Source organism: Homo sapiens, chromosome 22 (assembly GCF_000001405.40).
Source record: "Homo sapiens chromosome 22, GRCh38.p14 Primary Assembly".
NCBI lineage: Eukaryota > Metazoa > Chordata > Mammalia > Primates > Hominidae > Homo > Homo sapiens.
The window spans coordinates 24,795,194-24,810,606 of record NC_000022.11 but is presented as its reverse complement, the minus strand read 5'-3'; the positions used below and the strand labels follow the sequence as shown (position 1 = coordinate 24,810,606).

Here is a 15,413-nt window from a genome sequence, read left to right as displayed (position 1 = left end):
AAAACAAGGCAGTTAGTCACTTTGCTTCCATTATCAACTGGCATCACATGGCTGGCTCCTTTAATGGCAGTTGTTATGGCAACGGGAAGCCAGTCCCTGCTCGCTCTGGGAACCAAAACAAAATTAAGGGTTGGCAGGGAGGGTAAAGGAAGCCAGGAAGGAGCCAAGATAGAGCTGGTCAGATTTAACTGGAGGAAATCACGCTGAGGCCACCTTGTTTCCAGCTTTCTCTTGGTGGTACCGAGGACAGAGGGAAAAAAAAAAAGGATGCTTGCCCTGGAGGAGCTCAGGCTAACGTGGTGGGTGTTCTCGCAGGGTTTATCTTGCCAGCTGAATCATTTTCATCCCCATTATGAATAAACGGAAACCCACACACTGATAAAGGTAAAGACAGATCTTGTCTAAGATTGTGCAGTGAACAGGCCAGCAATTTCAGCTCCATCACCTTCTTTCCCTGTTCTCGATGTCCTCCCCATTCCTTTCCCTTGCTTTTGGGATAAGACCACATGTTCCGCCTTCTCCGCATCTGCACCTTTCTCCTTTGTCTCTGCTCCGGTCACTTCGGTTCCTTCAAATTCACAGTGTTCCCTCCAGCCACAAAGCTTCTGCATGTACAAAACCTTCTGCCAGGAATGGTTTTTCTTAGTGTCTCTCAACCCTCTTATCTTCACCTTAAAGTCCTACTCATCTTGCACCTGTCTTCTGAAACGTCATATCCTGGGCCCCTGCACATGGTCAGTTGTCCCTGTTTTGGGTTCTTGCAGCCCCGGGTGCCTCTCCTTCACATCTCTGTTCACAGCCTGTAATTATCCTTGTAATTTTGATAAGGTAACTGTTGGGAGTGTGTTTCCTCCGCTGCAAGGTCAGCCCCAGGAGGACAGGGACAGGGCCCATCTACAAGGGGCCTGTCCCTGCTATATCCACAGAACCTAGCCCAGGGTCTGACACACAGCCCTCAGTAAATAAACACATCTGGGGTTGGAATCCAGCTCTAGTTGAGCCCAAAGTTCTTCTTGACCTGCCTCATGGGTGCTGTGTCCAGCTGGCTCCCCAGGCCAGCACTGGACAGTTTCCAGCTCCCAGCCTCTGTTGGCCCCTTCGTGGCTGCAGTGGCTCTGGCAAACCTTGCAGAGCTGCCCAGCCTATCTAGAGATGTCGATTGTTAAGGCACTCCTTCTAGAAAGAAGGCTGGGGAAACAGATGTACACACAGAAGACAGATATACACACAGACACATGTAGATATGTGTACATACAATGCAGTCTCTGGGTGAGGCTGTGACAGGCAGAGATGTGGCTCCTTTGAACCCAGAGAGTGGGGAGGAGGGAGATCTGATTTGACTCTCAGATTTCTAGGCAAAGAGCTTTCCCTTCTGTTCCACTAGAGACTGGCTCTCTGACACTGAGAGAGATGCTCCCCAAAGAGGTAAGCAAAGGAAGGAAAGGACAGGGGAGACGTGCTTTGGGGGGCACCGAGTTGTTGCCATGTTCTTAGGGTACCTATGTTGAATAGGAACTCAAAAGACAGAAGAACGGAACCTGTTCCCTCACACTGGTTCTGTGCCCTTGAAATGTCACTTATTGTCTCTGGGCCACAGTGTTCTCATCTGTACAGTAGAAACTGTACTGCCCACACATTCTGTCCAAGGTGTGGCACCGTGTAGATTTGGATGAGCATGTTTGTGGGATGGGAGGGTCAGAGTGTGGCTCTGACATCAAAAAGACCTGGGGGGTAAGTCCCAACTCTGTCCCATCTTGGCTGTGTGCTCTTGGGCAAGTTATTCCCCCTCTTTGAGCCCAAGACCCAAACTAGACTGACACGGGTCAGACCTTAGAGGACACTGATACTAATGCATCCTTCTGCAGATGGAGAAACTGACTCCTAGAGAGAAGAAGGAACCTGCGCAGGAAACTGAGGAAGATGGTAGCTGAGCTGGGACCTGGGCCTCAGCCAGAGCCTTCCCCAGATGTCTTACTGGTGTTCTCTTCTGCCTGCAGCCCCCTCCCCATTCAACCAACCATTGCCTTAAAAACAAAGCTACCCCAGGCAAAAACATCTCAGGGACACATATTACACGTAGGTCTGGTTAAACCACGAACAAAAAGACAGCAGGTGCTTTGTAAGGTACATGCCCCTCCACTGAAAGTGACAAGGATGTTGTTGGTCTGTGAGTTCTATTGAAAAGAGGTTCTAGGCTGGGAGCAGTGGCTCACGCCTGTAATTCCAGCACTTTGGGAGGCCGAGGCAGGCGATCACGAGGTCAGGAGATCGAGACCATCCTGGCTAACGTGGTGAAACCCCGTCTCTACTAAAAATAAAAAAATAAAAAATTAGCCGGACATGGTGGCTCCTGTAGTCTCAGCTACTTGGGAGGCTGAGGCAGGAGAATGGCGTGAACCCAGGAGGTGGAGTTTTTAGTGAGTGGAGACTGTGCCACTGTACTCTATCCTGGGCAACAGAGCGAGACTCCGTCTCAAAAAAAAAAAAAAAACACCAAGAAAAAAAAAAGATAAGAGGTTCTAGATGGATCTCCCTTGGAATACCCACAGGAGTCTATACAAGGGCTGAGCTGAAAACTTCTGGGCCTTTCTGAGGGATCCAATGTATTTTGCATGTCTCATTCGAAAATGCTAGAATGTGCAAGCAGCCCTGGAGCTCATTCTTTAAACAAAATAGGACATGCCACACACAGAGACACACACACACACACACACACACGCAGGCACATACTCATGCTCCCGGAGGACGGAGGAGCAGCAACAGGTCCAAGCCTCGAGGCTGCCCTTGGTGGCTGTCTGCCACTGTGCAGGGAAGGAGGGGTCATCAGTGATGCTTGATGCTGCCACCTCAGCCAACACCCCCAACACATACACACACATGCACGCATGTACACACACACACACTGAAAGCCAGGCCCAGAAACCAGGCCAGCCCACGATGTCTGCTGCCATGCAAGGCCTTGGGCTAAGCGCTGATAAGGTTCAAAAGTGATGAAGACACAGCAGCAATGGGGTCTGAGACTGAAGAATGGGGAGGGCAACACACAAGACACACGCACACAGACGGAGTCACAGCCCTAGTTATTCATGCAGACTCATGCATCACATGCCACACACCTACTCAAGATACACACACACACTCACAGCATCACTCATTCACAGACTCATGCACCACACAATATACACACACAGACCCACCCTCACAAAAACAGATACAAAGACACACATAGATACGTGTACACACAGTGCAAAGAGATACACTTAGGTATCTCCAGACAGATGCACAGACATTCTCATACGCACACACTCACAGCCACAGGTCCTCACCCATGCAGGTATACACACCAGAGCACGCAGTCCAGGCATCGAGATGCTACCCCAAGGACTATAAATTCTGTCTATGGGGTTCTGGGAGGTCATTGGCCATGAGCCCTAAAGACTAGACTGCCCCCCTCTCCACGCGCTGACCCCAAGGAGAGTGGAGGGGCAGAGGAATGGCAGAACCTCTCTGATTCTCACCCTCTGAATGTGGGGTGGGAGTGGGGCGGGGGGAGTGAAGGGACCCCTACTGCCAGGGGAGCAGCTCACTGACCCGTGACTCTCAGGGAGGGAGTCCCCTGGCTCTTGGAGGTGGCTCCAAGGACTGAGAATTCGGGGGCTGGGAAGGGAGGTTTTATTTTCCTTCTGCCTTTTCCTGAAGCGTGCCCCACCTTCGGCAGCCCCATTCAGAGCCCCTCCTCCAGCACACCCTGTGGGGGGCGTCCCCCTAGCAGCTTCTCTCTCTTGGAAGGTCCCCTTCCTGAGCCGCGCCCACCTGCTCCTCCACAAGAGGAGGTCCTATCGGGATACATCCAGGTGTGCCCCACACCTGGAGGGCCCTCACGCTACATCCGCCCCCGCAAAAAGCCTCAAATGGGCCAAAGCCTCCCCACACCTACGCCCACCCCCAAACTCCCTCGCTGCGCCTCCTGCCCTGCGGGAGGTCAATGCCCACCCAGGTGAGCCCCACACCTGTTCTGGCCGCCCCCCCGCCGCCAGAGGCCACCCTTCCACGAAGACTCTTTTCCCGTTTGGCCGCTGCTGCCGGGGGAGTCCTGCCCAGTGCCCCCACCCCGGCACCCACCTCCTTCTTGACGGTGCGTAGCAGCCTCTGTCGGGTCTCCGCCTCTGTGGGACAAGAAACGAGAGCCGCGGGTCAGCCGAGAGAGGGTGCGGGGGCCGGGCGCTGCCCTCCCGCCGCCCTCGTGTCCAGCGGCCTCTTACCCGCGGGGGCCGAGGCCATGGCTCCGAGCGCTGCGTTCCGAGTCCCAGGAGGCGGTGGCGGCGGTGGCGGCGGTAGCTCCTCCGGCCGCGGCGCTGCTGCTGCAGCCGCGGCGGGGCGGGGCCGAGCGCTGAGTGACGGCCGGAGGGCGCCCGACGTCAGGACCCGAGGCGGCCGCCCCACCCCTCCGGAAAGCCACCGCTCGGCGGGGCAGCCGGGTCGCCTGCGCCAGGAGCCTTCGCGCCAAGCACGCACGCTCCCTCCCGCGCACCCAGCGCCCGAGCCTCTCAGGCTCCCCCAACCTCCACGCCAGCGCCCGCGTCCCTCCCTCTTCCCTAGGGCGGGGAAGGAAAGCGTCCGTCCTGAACCCTCCTCTGTGGGCCAGGCTCCAGGAAGTCACAGGAAATGGTGGGGCTACTACCGATATTCTCCAAGCCTCAGTTTTCTCATCTTTAAAATGGGTATAATGTGGTATAAAATGGGCATAATGGGTCTCAGAACGATCTGAGCCTTAAGTGAGATATTGGATGTGAAGCCCTTAATACAGACCCAGGGGGAAAGGCCAGCGAGCATAAATGCTTGCCACTGTTACTGTTATTATTATTAATTATTATTATTGAGGGTCTTCCAGCCGGTCGCGGTGGCTCACGCCTGTAATCCCAACACTTTGGGAGGCCGAGGCGGGCAGATCACTTGAGGTCAGGAGTTCGAGACCAGCCTGGCCAACATAGTGAAACCCCGTCTCTACGAAAATACAAAAATTAGCCGGACATGATGGCGAGCTGCCTGTAATCCCAGCTACTGGGGAGGCTAAGGCAGGAGAATCTCTTGAACCCGGGAAGCAGAGGTTACAGTGATCCAACATGGCGCCATTGCACTCCAGCCTGAGCGACAGAGTGAGACTCCGTCTCAAAAAATAAAAAAAATACAAATACAAAAATTAGCCAGGCATGGTGGCGTGCTCCTGTAATCCCAGCTACTCAGGAGGCTGAGGCATGAGAATTGCTTGAACCCTGGAGGCAGAGGTGTCAGTGAGCCAAGATTGTGCCACCACACTCCAGCCTGGGCAACAAAAGTGAAACTCCATCTCAAAAAAAAAAAAAAAAAAAAGAGTCTTCCAAGATACACTGGTTATCCATTCAGGAGAGGCCGGGACTTAAGTGGCTCCCTCCCCGACATGCAGGTCACTGGAGGAGTGGGGTTTTCCCAGGAGTCTGGCCCCAAAAGGAGGCACTTGTCAGCCAGGATCTCTGGGGCTGAGCAAGCAGTGGGCTCTGTGGGAAAAGCCTTGTTCCATCAAGAGCCCCTGGTCACCCCAAGTCCCTAACTGTATCCACCCAGAATGCAACTCAGGTCAATATTTATTGAGCACCTACTCTGTGCCAAGTGACTGTGCTAGAGATTTCTAAGTGAGCAAGACAGACAATGAACTCTGCCCTCATGGAGTTTAGGAGGCGGACAACAAAATATGTAAGAAAAGGACAGACCATGCTGGAAAGTTCTGGAGAAAAATTAAGTAGGCAAGGGGGACAGGGAGGGCCCAGACCCCTGGGGATCGTATTCTGAAGTAGGGTGGTTGAGGGAGGCCCCACTGAGCAGGTGACATTTAAGCAAAGAGGAAAAGGAGTAGGCCATGGGGATTTCTGGAGGAAGAGCAGTTGAGTCAAGGGAACAGCAAATGCAAAGTCCCTGAGGAGGGAGTGTGTCCAGTCAAACAGTGACAAATAGCACAGATGCCTGTGGGGCTGGAGTGGTGTGAACAATGGGGACGGTGGTGGGATGTTGGCCAGAGAGGTGCAGGGCCAAAACCCTGTATGACTTTGATGGTGATGTTAAGGATTTGCAATGCCTTTTAGGGTCCCCCAGTATTCAGGCCTTCCTTCAGAAGGACTAGAGGGCAGCTTAGAGTGCCTCTCCGTGCAGCAGTGGATCCAGAGCCCCCTTTTTTCCATTGGTCAGTGTCAGGGGTCTCTGGCCGTAAGCCACAGAAGCTGACTTTGGCTTCCTCAGGCAAAAGGAAATAAACTGGGAAGATAATATGTGATCCCAGAGCCCATGGGAGCCTGGAGAACTGGGAAATGGGATGAAATCAAGGTGGCTCTGGAAGGCCAGAAAGGGGAATCTTGGGAATATTTGCCTGGCAAGGACAGTGTGGTTAGGGCACTGCTGCTCTGGTAAAGAGAATGCCATTCGTTTAAGGTTTTCATCCTATGGAGGGAGTGCCTGATTGTCCTGACCTGGGACACAAGCCTGCCCATTGGCTTGGGGAGAGGTGTCTCAATCACAAACCCCTGCTCCACAATCTCCAGCAAGTCCCCCAGGAGAATGGGAAATGGTTGCTTGGCAGCAAAAATAATCATATATTGCGCACCTACTATGTGGCAGGCACTGCGCTAAGGGCTTTGGGTTTTGCTCACATGATCTTATTGACCCTCCTTCCACCCCACGCTAACCCTATGAGCCTTATGTCATTGACAAAGCCAAGCCTGGAGGGGGTTTCATCCCTGTTTGTTTAACAAGTGTGTGGCCGCCAGGATTCTGACCTGAGGACCAAAGTGATTGATCCATTAGTTCCTCTCCTTGGCTTCACCCCTAAGTTAACTGGGGTACTTTAGGAAGGTGGTAGGGTGCCTAAGCCTCACTCTAGGGAATCATTTTTCAAAACCCACATTTTTCCTTTTCCTGCCAAGCACAAAGTCTGGGAAGTTGACCTGTGCTGGTCCTTGAAAACCTGGAGCTTTTCCTCCAAGATAAAGGACTCCATGGTGTTTGGTGCAGTTGCAACTGGCAGGAGGGCATGGTTGACCTGCATGCAACTCAGGTCAACAGATATTTATGAACACCTACTGTGTGCCAGGTGACTGTGCTAGATACTTCTAAGTGAACGAGACAGGCAAAAAGCTCTGCCCTCGTGGAGCTTAGGAAGCAGACAATAAAATAAGCAAATAATAGAGTATGTTGGAAAGTTCTGGAGGAAAACAAAGTAGGCAGGGGAGACAGGGAGGGCCCAGACAGATGGGGATTTTATTATGAAACAGAGTGGTTGAGGGAGGCCCCACTGAGCAGGTGACATTGGAACCCTGAATTCCATGGGACCAGGGATTGCACCCTGCTGCAGTTGGAACACTCACCACTAGGGGCACCATCACCTAAGATCAGCTTGGGAAGAGTTGCACTCTCCCTGTGGCCAGAATAGGAAAATTTACCTGGGTCCCAAAGCCTCCCCCAGTGTCTGAGAATCCCATTACCTGGCCTATGACACCTCACACCCTTAGCGCTGACCAGTGGTGCAGCAGCTGGAACCAGTTAAGAGAAGCCTCTTTCTCCAGCAATGTTTCTTCAGCGCCCTCAGCTGGGAAAGGTCAGCTCTGTGATCAGCGTAAATGAAAAATGCTAAGAAAGTCCAGGCTAGGCCGGACGCGGTGGCTCACACCTGTAATCCCAGCACTTTGGGAGGCCGAGGCGGGTGGATCGCCTGAGGTCAGGAGTTCGAGACCAGCCTGGCCAACACAGGCGTGGTGGTTCACACCTGTAATCCCAGCACTTTGGGAGGCCGAGGCAGGCGGATCATGAGGTCAGGAGTTCGAGACCAGTCTGGCCAACATAGTGAAACCCTGTCTCTACTAAAAATACAAAAAAAAATTAGCCGGGCCTGGTGGTGTGTGCCTGTAATCCCAGCTACTCGAGAGGCTGAGGCAGGAGAATTGTGTGAACCCGGGAGGCAGAGGTTGCAGTGAGCCAAGCTTGCACCACTGCACTCCAGTCTGGGCAAAAGAACTAGACTCCGTCTCAAAAAAAAAAAAAGAGAGAAAAAAAAAACAGCTTAACCAAGACATGCAGCTGGAAAGTAAGAGAGGCTAGATTCAGGCCGAGGCACTCTTGAGCCTCTTACTATACAGAGAAATCTTGATTAATGTTGTGTTGCATGCCCTATGCAGCAGATACTCCTTGTTGCTGCGATGGTGAATTTTATCTGTCAACTTGCTTGGACCAGGGGTGCTCAAACATTTGCTCAAAGGTTATTCTGGGCGTGACTGTGAGGGTGTTTGTAGATAAGATTAATGTTTGAATCCATCGACTGAGTAAAGCAGATTGCTGTCTCTGATGTAGGTAAGCCTCATTCAATCAATTGAAGATCTGAATGGAACAAAAAAAGGCAGAACAAGAGGAAACTCCTCCTGCCTGACTGTTTGAGCTGCGACATCTTTTCCCACCTTCTGACTCAAATTGAAACCTCTGCTCTTCCTGGGCCTCGGGCCTTCGGACTCAGACTAAAACTGCACTATCAGCCCTCCTGGGCCTCCAGTTTGCTGACTGCAAATCCTGGGACTTCTCAGCTTGCATAATTGTATAAGCCAAGTTCTTGTAATAAATCTCCTTATATATGTATAGATGCATACATATATAAGTGTGCATATATTTATATGTGTGTATATATGTACATCTTGTTGGTTCTGTTTCTCTGGAGAACACTGACTAATACAGTTGTCACCTCAATATTCGTTTGCCTCCCCCTCTTTTTAATGAAACTGAATTTGCCCAGGTATCCAACTCTACACATTGGCCACTGCCTTGGAAGACCCTGTTCTTCTTCCCATCTAGGTAGGTCCTGACTGGACTAAGTCAATCATGGTGCTCCTGCAATTCGCAGTTGCAAAAATATGGAACCAGCCCAAATGTCCATCAATCAATGAGTGGATAAAGAAAATATAATATATATACCACAGAATACTACTCAGCCATAAAAAGGAATGAAATAATGGCATTGCAGCAACCTGGATGGAGTTGGAGACCATTATTCTAAGAGAAGTAACTCAGGAATGGGAAAGTAAACATTTTTTTTTTTTTTTTGAGATGGAGTCGCACTCTGTCACCCAGACTGGAGTGCAGTGGCGCAATCTCAGCTCACCGCAACCTCCGCCTCCCGGGTTCAAGTGATTCTCCTGTCTCAGCCTCCGGAGTACCTATATATTTTTTGGATTTTTAGTAGAGACGGGGTTTCACCATGTTGGCCAGGCTGGTCTGGAATTTCTGACCTCAGGTGATCCACCTGCCTTGGCCTCCCAAAATGCTGGGATTACAGACGTGAGCCACCACACCCAGTCTTTTTTTCTTTTCTTTTTCTTTTCTTTTCTTTTTTTTTTTTTTTTTTTGAGATGGAGTCTCACTCTGTCACCAGGCTGGAGTGCAGTGGCACAATCTTGGCTCACTGCAACCTCCACCTCCCGGGTTCAAGTGATTCCCCTGCCTCAGCCTCCCTAGTAGCTGTGACTGCAGGTGCGCACCACCACACCCAGTTAATTTTTGTAATTTTAGTAGAGACAGGGTTTCACCATTTTGGCCAGGATGGTCTCGATCTCTTGACCTCATGATCCGCCCGCCTCGGCCTCCTAAAGTGCTGGGATTACAGGCGTAAGCCACCGCACCCAGTCGGGAAACTAAACATTCTGTGTTCTCACTTGTAAGTGGGAGCTAAGCTATAAGGACACAAAAGTATAAAAACGATGCAATGGGCCGGTGCGATGGCTCATGTCTGTAATCCCAGCAGTTTGAGAGGCCGAGGTGGGTGGATCACCTGAGGTTGGCAGTTTGAGACCAGCCTGACCAACATGGAGAAACCTCGTCTCTACTAAAAATACAAAATCAGCTGGGCGTGGTGGTGCATGCCTGTAATCCCAGCTACTCGGGAGGCTGAGGCAGGAGAATTGCTTGAATCTGCAAGGCAGAGGTTGCAGTGAGCCGAGATCCCGCCATTACACTCCAGCCTGGGCAACAAGAGCAAAACTCTGTCTCACACGCACACACACACACAAAAAGATACAATGGACTTTGGGGACTCTGGGGGAAGCATGGAGTGGGGAGGGATAAAAGACTACACATTGGGTACAGTGTACACTGCTCGGGTGGTGAGTGCACCTAAATCTCAGAAATCACCACTAAAGAACTTATTCATGTAACCAAACACCACCTGTTCCCCCAAAAACTATTGAAATAAAAAAATTAAAAATAAGTAAATAAATAAAAATCATGATGCTCCTGTTTCCTTTGTCAGTGGTCGGTTTAGATGTGAGCAAGTGACACAGTTCTGGCCAATGAGACACAGGAGAAGTCAGCTAGGTGCCTTCTGGGAATGATTTCTCCACTCTTGAAAGCTCCACATCTGGGCACTAGCACTTTATGTGCTGCCATTGCCTGATAGCCTGAGGGCACAGCCAATACAGGGAGGTGGGCAGAGCCAAGAGAAGTGGGGCCAGAGCACCCCCAACGATTCGGAATTTCTTGTTATTTTGGAAAATACATTTCCTCATTGTGAAGTCATTGAGTTAGGGTTTCCTCTTACTTGCAGTTGAAATCACCTTACTGATAAAATTATTCAGTGTTATGTACTCATCTATGTTCATGAACGTGAATAAGAAAAATAGGCCAGGTGTGGTGGCTCACTCCTGTAATCCCAGCACTTTGGGAGGCCAAGGTGGTCAGATCACGAGGTCGAGATCGAGACCAGCCTGGCCAACATGGTGAAACCTTGTCTCTACTAAAAATATAAAAAATTAGCTAGGCATGGTGGTGTGCGCCTGTAGTCCTAGCTATTTGGGAGGTTGAGGCAGGAGAATCACTTGAACCAGGGAGGCAGAGGTTGCAGTGAGCCAAGATCGCACCACTGCATAAGGGCCTGGGCGACAGAACAAGATTTCATCTCACAAAAAAAAAGAAAAAAAAAGAAAGAAAAATATTGACCTATTTTTTCACTTAAAAATGAACATTTGGCCGGGCGCGGTGGCTCACACCTGTAATTCCAGCACTTTGGGAGGTCGAGGCGGGCAGATCACAAGGTCAGGAGATCAAGACCATCCTGGCTAACACAGTGCTAAAAATACAAAAAAATTAGCCTGGCGTGGTGGCGGGCGCCTGTAGTCCCAGCTACTCGGGAGGCTGAGGCAGGAGAATGGCGTGAACCCGGGAGGTGCACAGAGCGAGACTCCGTCTCAAAAAAAAAAAAAAAAAATGAGCATTTATGTCAGCCGGTCGGCCGGGGGCGGTGGCTTACGCCTGTAATCCCAACACTTTGGGAGGCTGAGGCAGGTGGATCACCTGAGGTCAGGAATTTGAGACCAACCTGGCCAACATGGTGAAACCTCGTCTCTACTGAAAATACAAAAATTAGCCGGGCGTGGTGGCAGGCACCTGTATCCCAGCTACTCGGGAGGCTGAGGCACGAGAATCACTTGAACCTGGGAGGCGGAGGTTGCAGTGAGCTGAGATCGCGCCACTGCATTCCAGCCTGGGCGGCAGAGTGAGGCTTTGTCTAAAAAAAAAAAAAAAAAAGAAGAAAAGAACATTTATGTCAATAAATATAGATCTAAATCATTCATTTTCATATCTGAAAAAGGATGTCATAAGTATGGATGCTTCATAAATTATATTGTCTTCCATTATTGAGCATTTTGATTGAATACACTTTTGCTATCATGAACACTTTTGTAATTGAAGAGAACCCTTAATTACTTCCATAGGATATAATTTCAAAAGTTGAAACTGTTTAAAACTGTAACAGGTAGAGTAAATGGTGATGCAGTGAAGTATGTTATTTGTTCGTTTGGGGCTCAGACATCACTGCAAATGTGAATAGAGATGCCTCGTTTTGAAATTGCACGCCGCTATCTACTAACATCCATGGACATGGCTGGGAAAGAATGGAGGGGTGTTGATGGTGAGGGCCTGAAGGAGGGCAGGTGTACCCACCTCCCTGTATTGGCTGTGCCCTCAGGCTGTTTATCCTTCTGATTTCCAAAGATACTAAAACATTTTCATGGGCCCTTGAAATTATTGTGGGCCCCAGGCATACTGTGTCTAATGAATAAGTCACCCCGTGAATTGATTCGCTGGCTGATTGAGAGCATCACTGACCCAGGCTCTTTGTATTTTAACTCCATCATTCTTGGTTTGTGGCTTCATACCTCATGGCCTCAAAATGGCTACCGCAAGTTCAGATCTCATACCCAATATCAGTGCAGAAAGAAAAGGATGGTATTACTTGCATCTGTTTCTTTTTCTTTTTTTTTTTTTTTTTTTTTTTTTGAGACAGAGTCTCGCTTTGTCACCCAGGCTGGAGTGCAGTAGTGCGATCTCAGCTCACGGAAAGCTCCATCTCTCGGGTTCACGCCATTCTCCTGCCTCAGCCTCCTGAGTAGCTGGGACTACAGGTGCCCACCACCACGCCCGGCTAATTTTTTGTATTTTTAGTAGAGACGAGGTTTCACCGTGTTAGCCAGGATGGTCTCGATCTCCTGACCTTGTGATCCGCCCACCTCGGCCTCCCAAAGTGCTGGGATTACAGGCATGAGCCACCCCGCCCAACCGGCCTTGATCACTTTTATTGCAAGGGATGCTGGATAATTGAGCATCTGCTAAAGAAACAAGATGACCCTGATTAGATTTAACCAGTCGTGGTTGAGCAGGTGGGGTGGGCCACCTCTATATAAAGCACAGAAATGGAAGTTTAGGGAGTATTCCAGGCCAGAACTTCGTCCATTAGCACTGGCTCTCATGGGGCTCTTGCTGGTGATGTATGAGCATCAGACTTCGCTTGGGTCCCTGGTGGGAGCCAGCACAGAAAAAAGTCAACATTGTAGATGGTGAGTGGTGAGTGACACCACAGTAGGTTTATGAATTTCTTTTTCAGGGCCTCCTAGGTATGGAGCAAGGAGCATTTTACAGGATGGGATGATGATGCTGTGTGAGCATGTGAAGGAAAGAACTCACTGGTAGGTGAATGATGTGAATGTGATTTCACAGAGTATGGGAACCCTGGACCCAGGGAATGAAGGCGGGAGGCTCCAGGGGAATTTTTAGAGAAAGCCTGGTGGCTCCTTTTGATGAGCAGCCCTGGTGAGCAGCAGGTTGATGAATGAAGTGATTTCACTGTAACAGATTTCCAAGTCTAAAATCGAGGATGTAAAGGAACCCTGCTTCTCCCCATAAATAGACAATCTCAACTTTTCTCTTCTTGATTTTCACTTAAGGCTGGATTTTTTTTTCTACTTTCTCCCAGATGAGTTTCATTCATTCATTCATTCATTCATTTTTTCAGTGTTTTGTTTGAGAGCCCACAATGTGCCCAGCATGAGGGACAGAGTATGAATAAGTCACATGATGTTGTTTCCTGCATGGAGCTCACATTTGAGCCAGGGGGAAGAGAGAGGCAATAATAAAGTGATCACATCAGCAAAATACCAGATTGTGGTCAATGTGATCAATAAAGCATGTGAGCTGGGTGGTGTGATAGTGAGTGTCCACGGGGTGACGTGGCCTGAGACGTGACAGATGGGAAGAAGCCAGTCAGGCTTGTGGTACTATTTGGGGAGGTGAGAGCATGACTGAGTTATGAATGGAGAGGGCAGCAGCGAGGCTGAGAGTTGGAGGAAGATCATTTTAGGTGCATGCAAGGGAGAACAGGTACAAAGTCCCCAAGGTGGGGATGAGCATGCCTAGACAAAGAAGAGAAAGGGTGCAGTTATATATATATATAAATATATATATATATATATATATATATATATATATATATATTTTTTTTTTTTTTTGAGATGGAGTCTCGCTCTGTCGCCAGGCTGGAGTGCAGTGGCACGATCTCGGCTCACTGCAACCTCCGTCTCCAGGGTTCAAGCGATTTTTCTGCCTCAGCCCCCCAAGTAGCTGGGATTACAGGCATGCACCACCACGCCTGGTTAATTTTTGTATTTTTAGTAGAGACGGGGCTTCACCATGTTGGCCAGGCTGGTCTCGAACTCCTGACCTCAGGTGATCCACCCGCCACGGCTTCCCAAAGTGCTGGGATTACAGGTGTGAGCCACAGTGCCCGGCAAGTGTGCAGTTATGACCGGAGTGCAGTGAGCACTTAAGGCCCCTTCAGCCCTTAACTCCGTAAAGGTAACCAGAAGAGTCTTGATTTCCTTCCTACACTCTTAGCCCAAATCTATCCATCAGCAACCCTTTTTAATTTATTATAGCAATATTCATATAAAATTCACCATTTTAAGCATTTTAAAGTGGACAAATCAGTGACATTCAGTACATTCAAGTATTGTGCAACTATCACCACTACATAGATCCACAATACTTTCGTTACTCCAGAAGGAAACCTCATACCCACTAAACAGTCACTCTTGTTGCCCCCGACTGCCATTAATCTGCTTTCTGTCTCTATGAGTTTACCTAGTCTGGGCTTTCCATATAAGGGGAACCATACAAAACAACCTTTTGGATCTGGCTTCTTTCACTTAGCATAATGTCTTTTGAAGTTCATACATGTTGTACCATTTATCAGTACTTCACTCCTTTTTTTTGAGACGGAGTCTTGCACTGTTGCCCAGACTGGAGTGCAATGGTGCAATCACAGCTCACTGCAAGCTCTGCCTCCCGGGTTCACACCATTCTCCTGCCTCAGCCTCCCGAGTAGCTGGGACTACAGCCGCCAGCCACCACACCAGGCTAATTTTTTGTATTTTTAGTAGAGATGGCATTTCACCGTGTTAGCCAGGATGGTCTCAATCTCCTGACCGCGTGATCTGCCCACCTCGGCCTCCCAAAGTGCTGGGATTACAGGCGTGAGCCACCGCGCCCGGCAGTACTTCACTCCTTTTTATGGCTGAATAATATTCCATTGTATGGCTAGACCACATTTTCTTTTTTTTTTTTTTTTTTTTTGAGACAGAGTCTCGCTTTGTCGCCCAGGCTGGAGTGCAGTAGTGTGATCTCAGCTCACTGAAAGCTCCATCTCTCTGGTTCATGCCATTCTCCTGCCTCAGCCTCCCAAGTAGCTGGGACTGCAGGTGCCTGCCACCATGCCCGGCTAATTTTTTGTATTTTTAGTAGAGACGGGGTTTCACCGTATTAGCCAGGATGGTCTTGTCTCCTGACCTTGTGATCCGCCCGCCTCAGCCTTCTAAAGTTCTGGGATTACAGGCGTGAGCCACCGCGCCTGGCCTAGACAACATTTTCTTTATCCATTCCTCAGCTCATGGACGTTTGGAGAGTTTCCACCTTTTGCCTAATGTGAATGGTGCAGCCATGAATATTTGTGTACCGGTTTTTGTGTCTACAAATATTTTCATTTTCATTCTCATGGGTATATAACTAGAAGTAGAATTGCT

The 15,413-nt window shown here is 49.6% G+C and overlaps 1 protein-coding gene across 4 annotated transcripts in view, besides 1 other annotated feature; it reads right to left on the bottom strand.

Moving 5' to 3' along the window:
* The window catches only part of SGSM1 (small G protein signaling modulator 1), a 121,368-nt gene extending 116,972 nt beyond the window's left edge, over window positions 1-4,396 (bottom strand). For all 4 annotated transcript variants that reach the window (NM_001039948.4, NM_133454.4, NM_001098497.3 and 1 more), the window contains exons 1-2: window positions 4,263-4,396; window positions 4,123-4,166 (exon numbers count right to left, since the gene is read on the bottom strand). In NM_001039948.4, coding sequence (NP_001035037.1) covers window positions 4,123-4,166; window positions 4,263-4,281 — 63 coding nt within the window. In that variant the 5' untranslated portion in view covers window positions 4,282-4,396. The remainder of the gene's footprint in view (window positions 1-4,122; window positions 4,167-4,262) is intronic.
* Window positions 4,349-4,558: a silencer, noted in NCBI's record as "silent region_13556". NCBI's record gives its function as "represses an Ori minimal core promoter by ATAC-STARR-seq in GM12878 lymphoblastoid cells {active_cell/tissue: GM12878}" and the evidence as "EXISTENCE:reporter gene assay evidence [ECO:0000049][PMID:35858748]".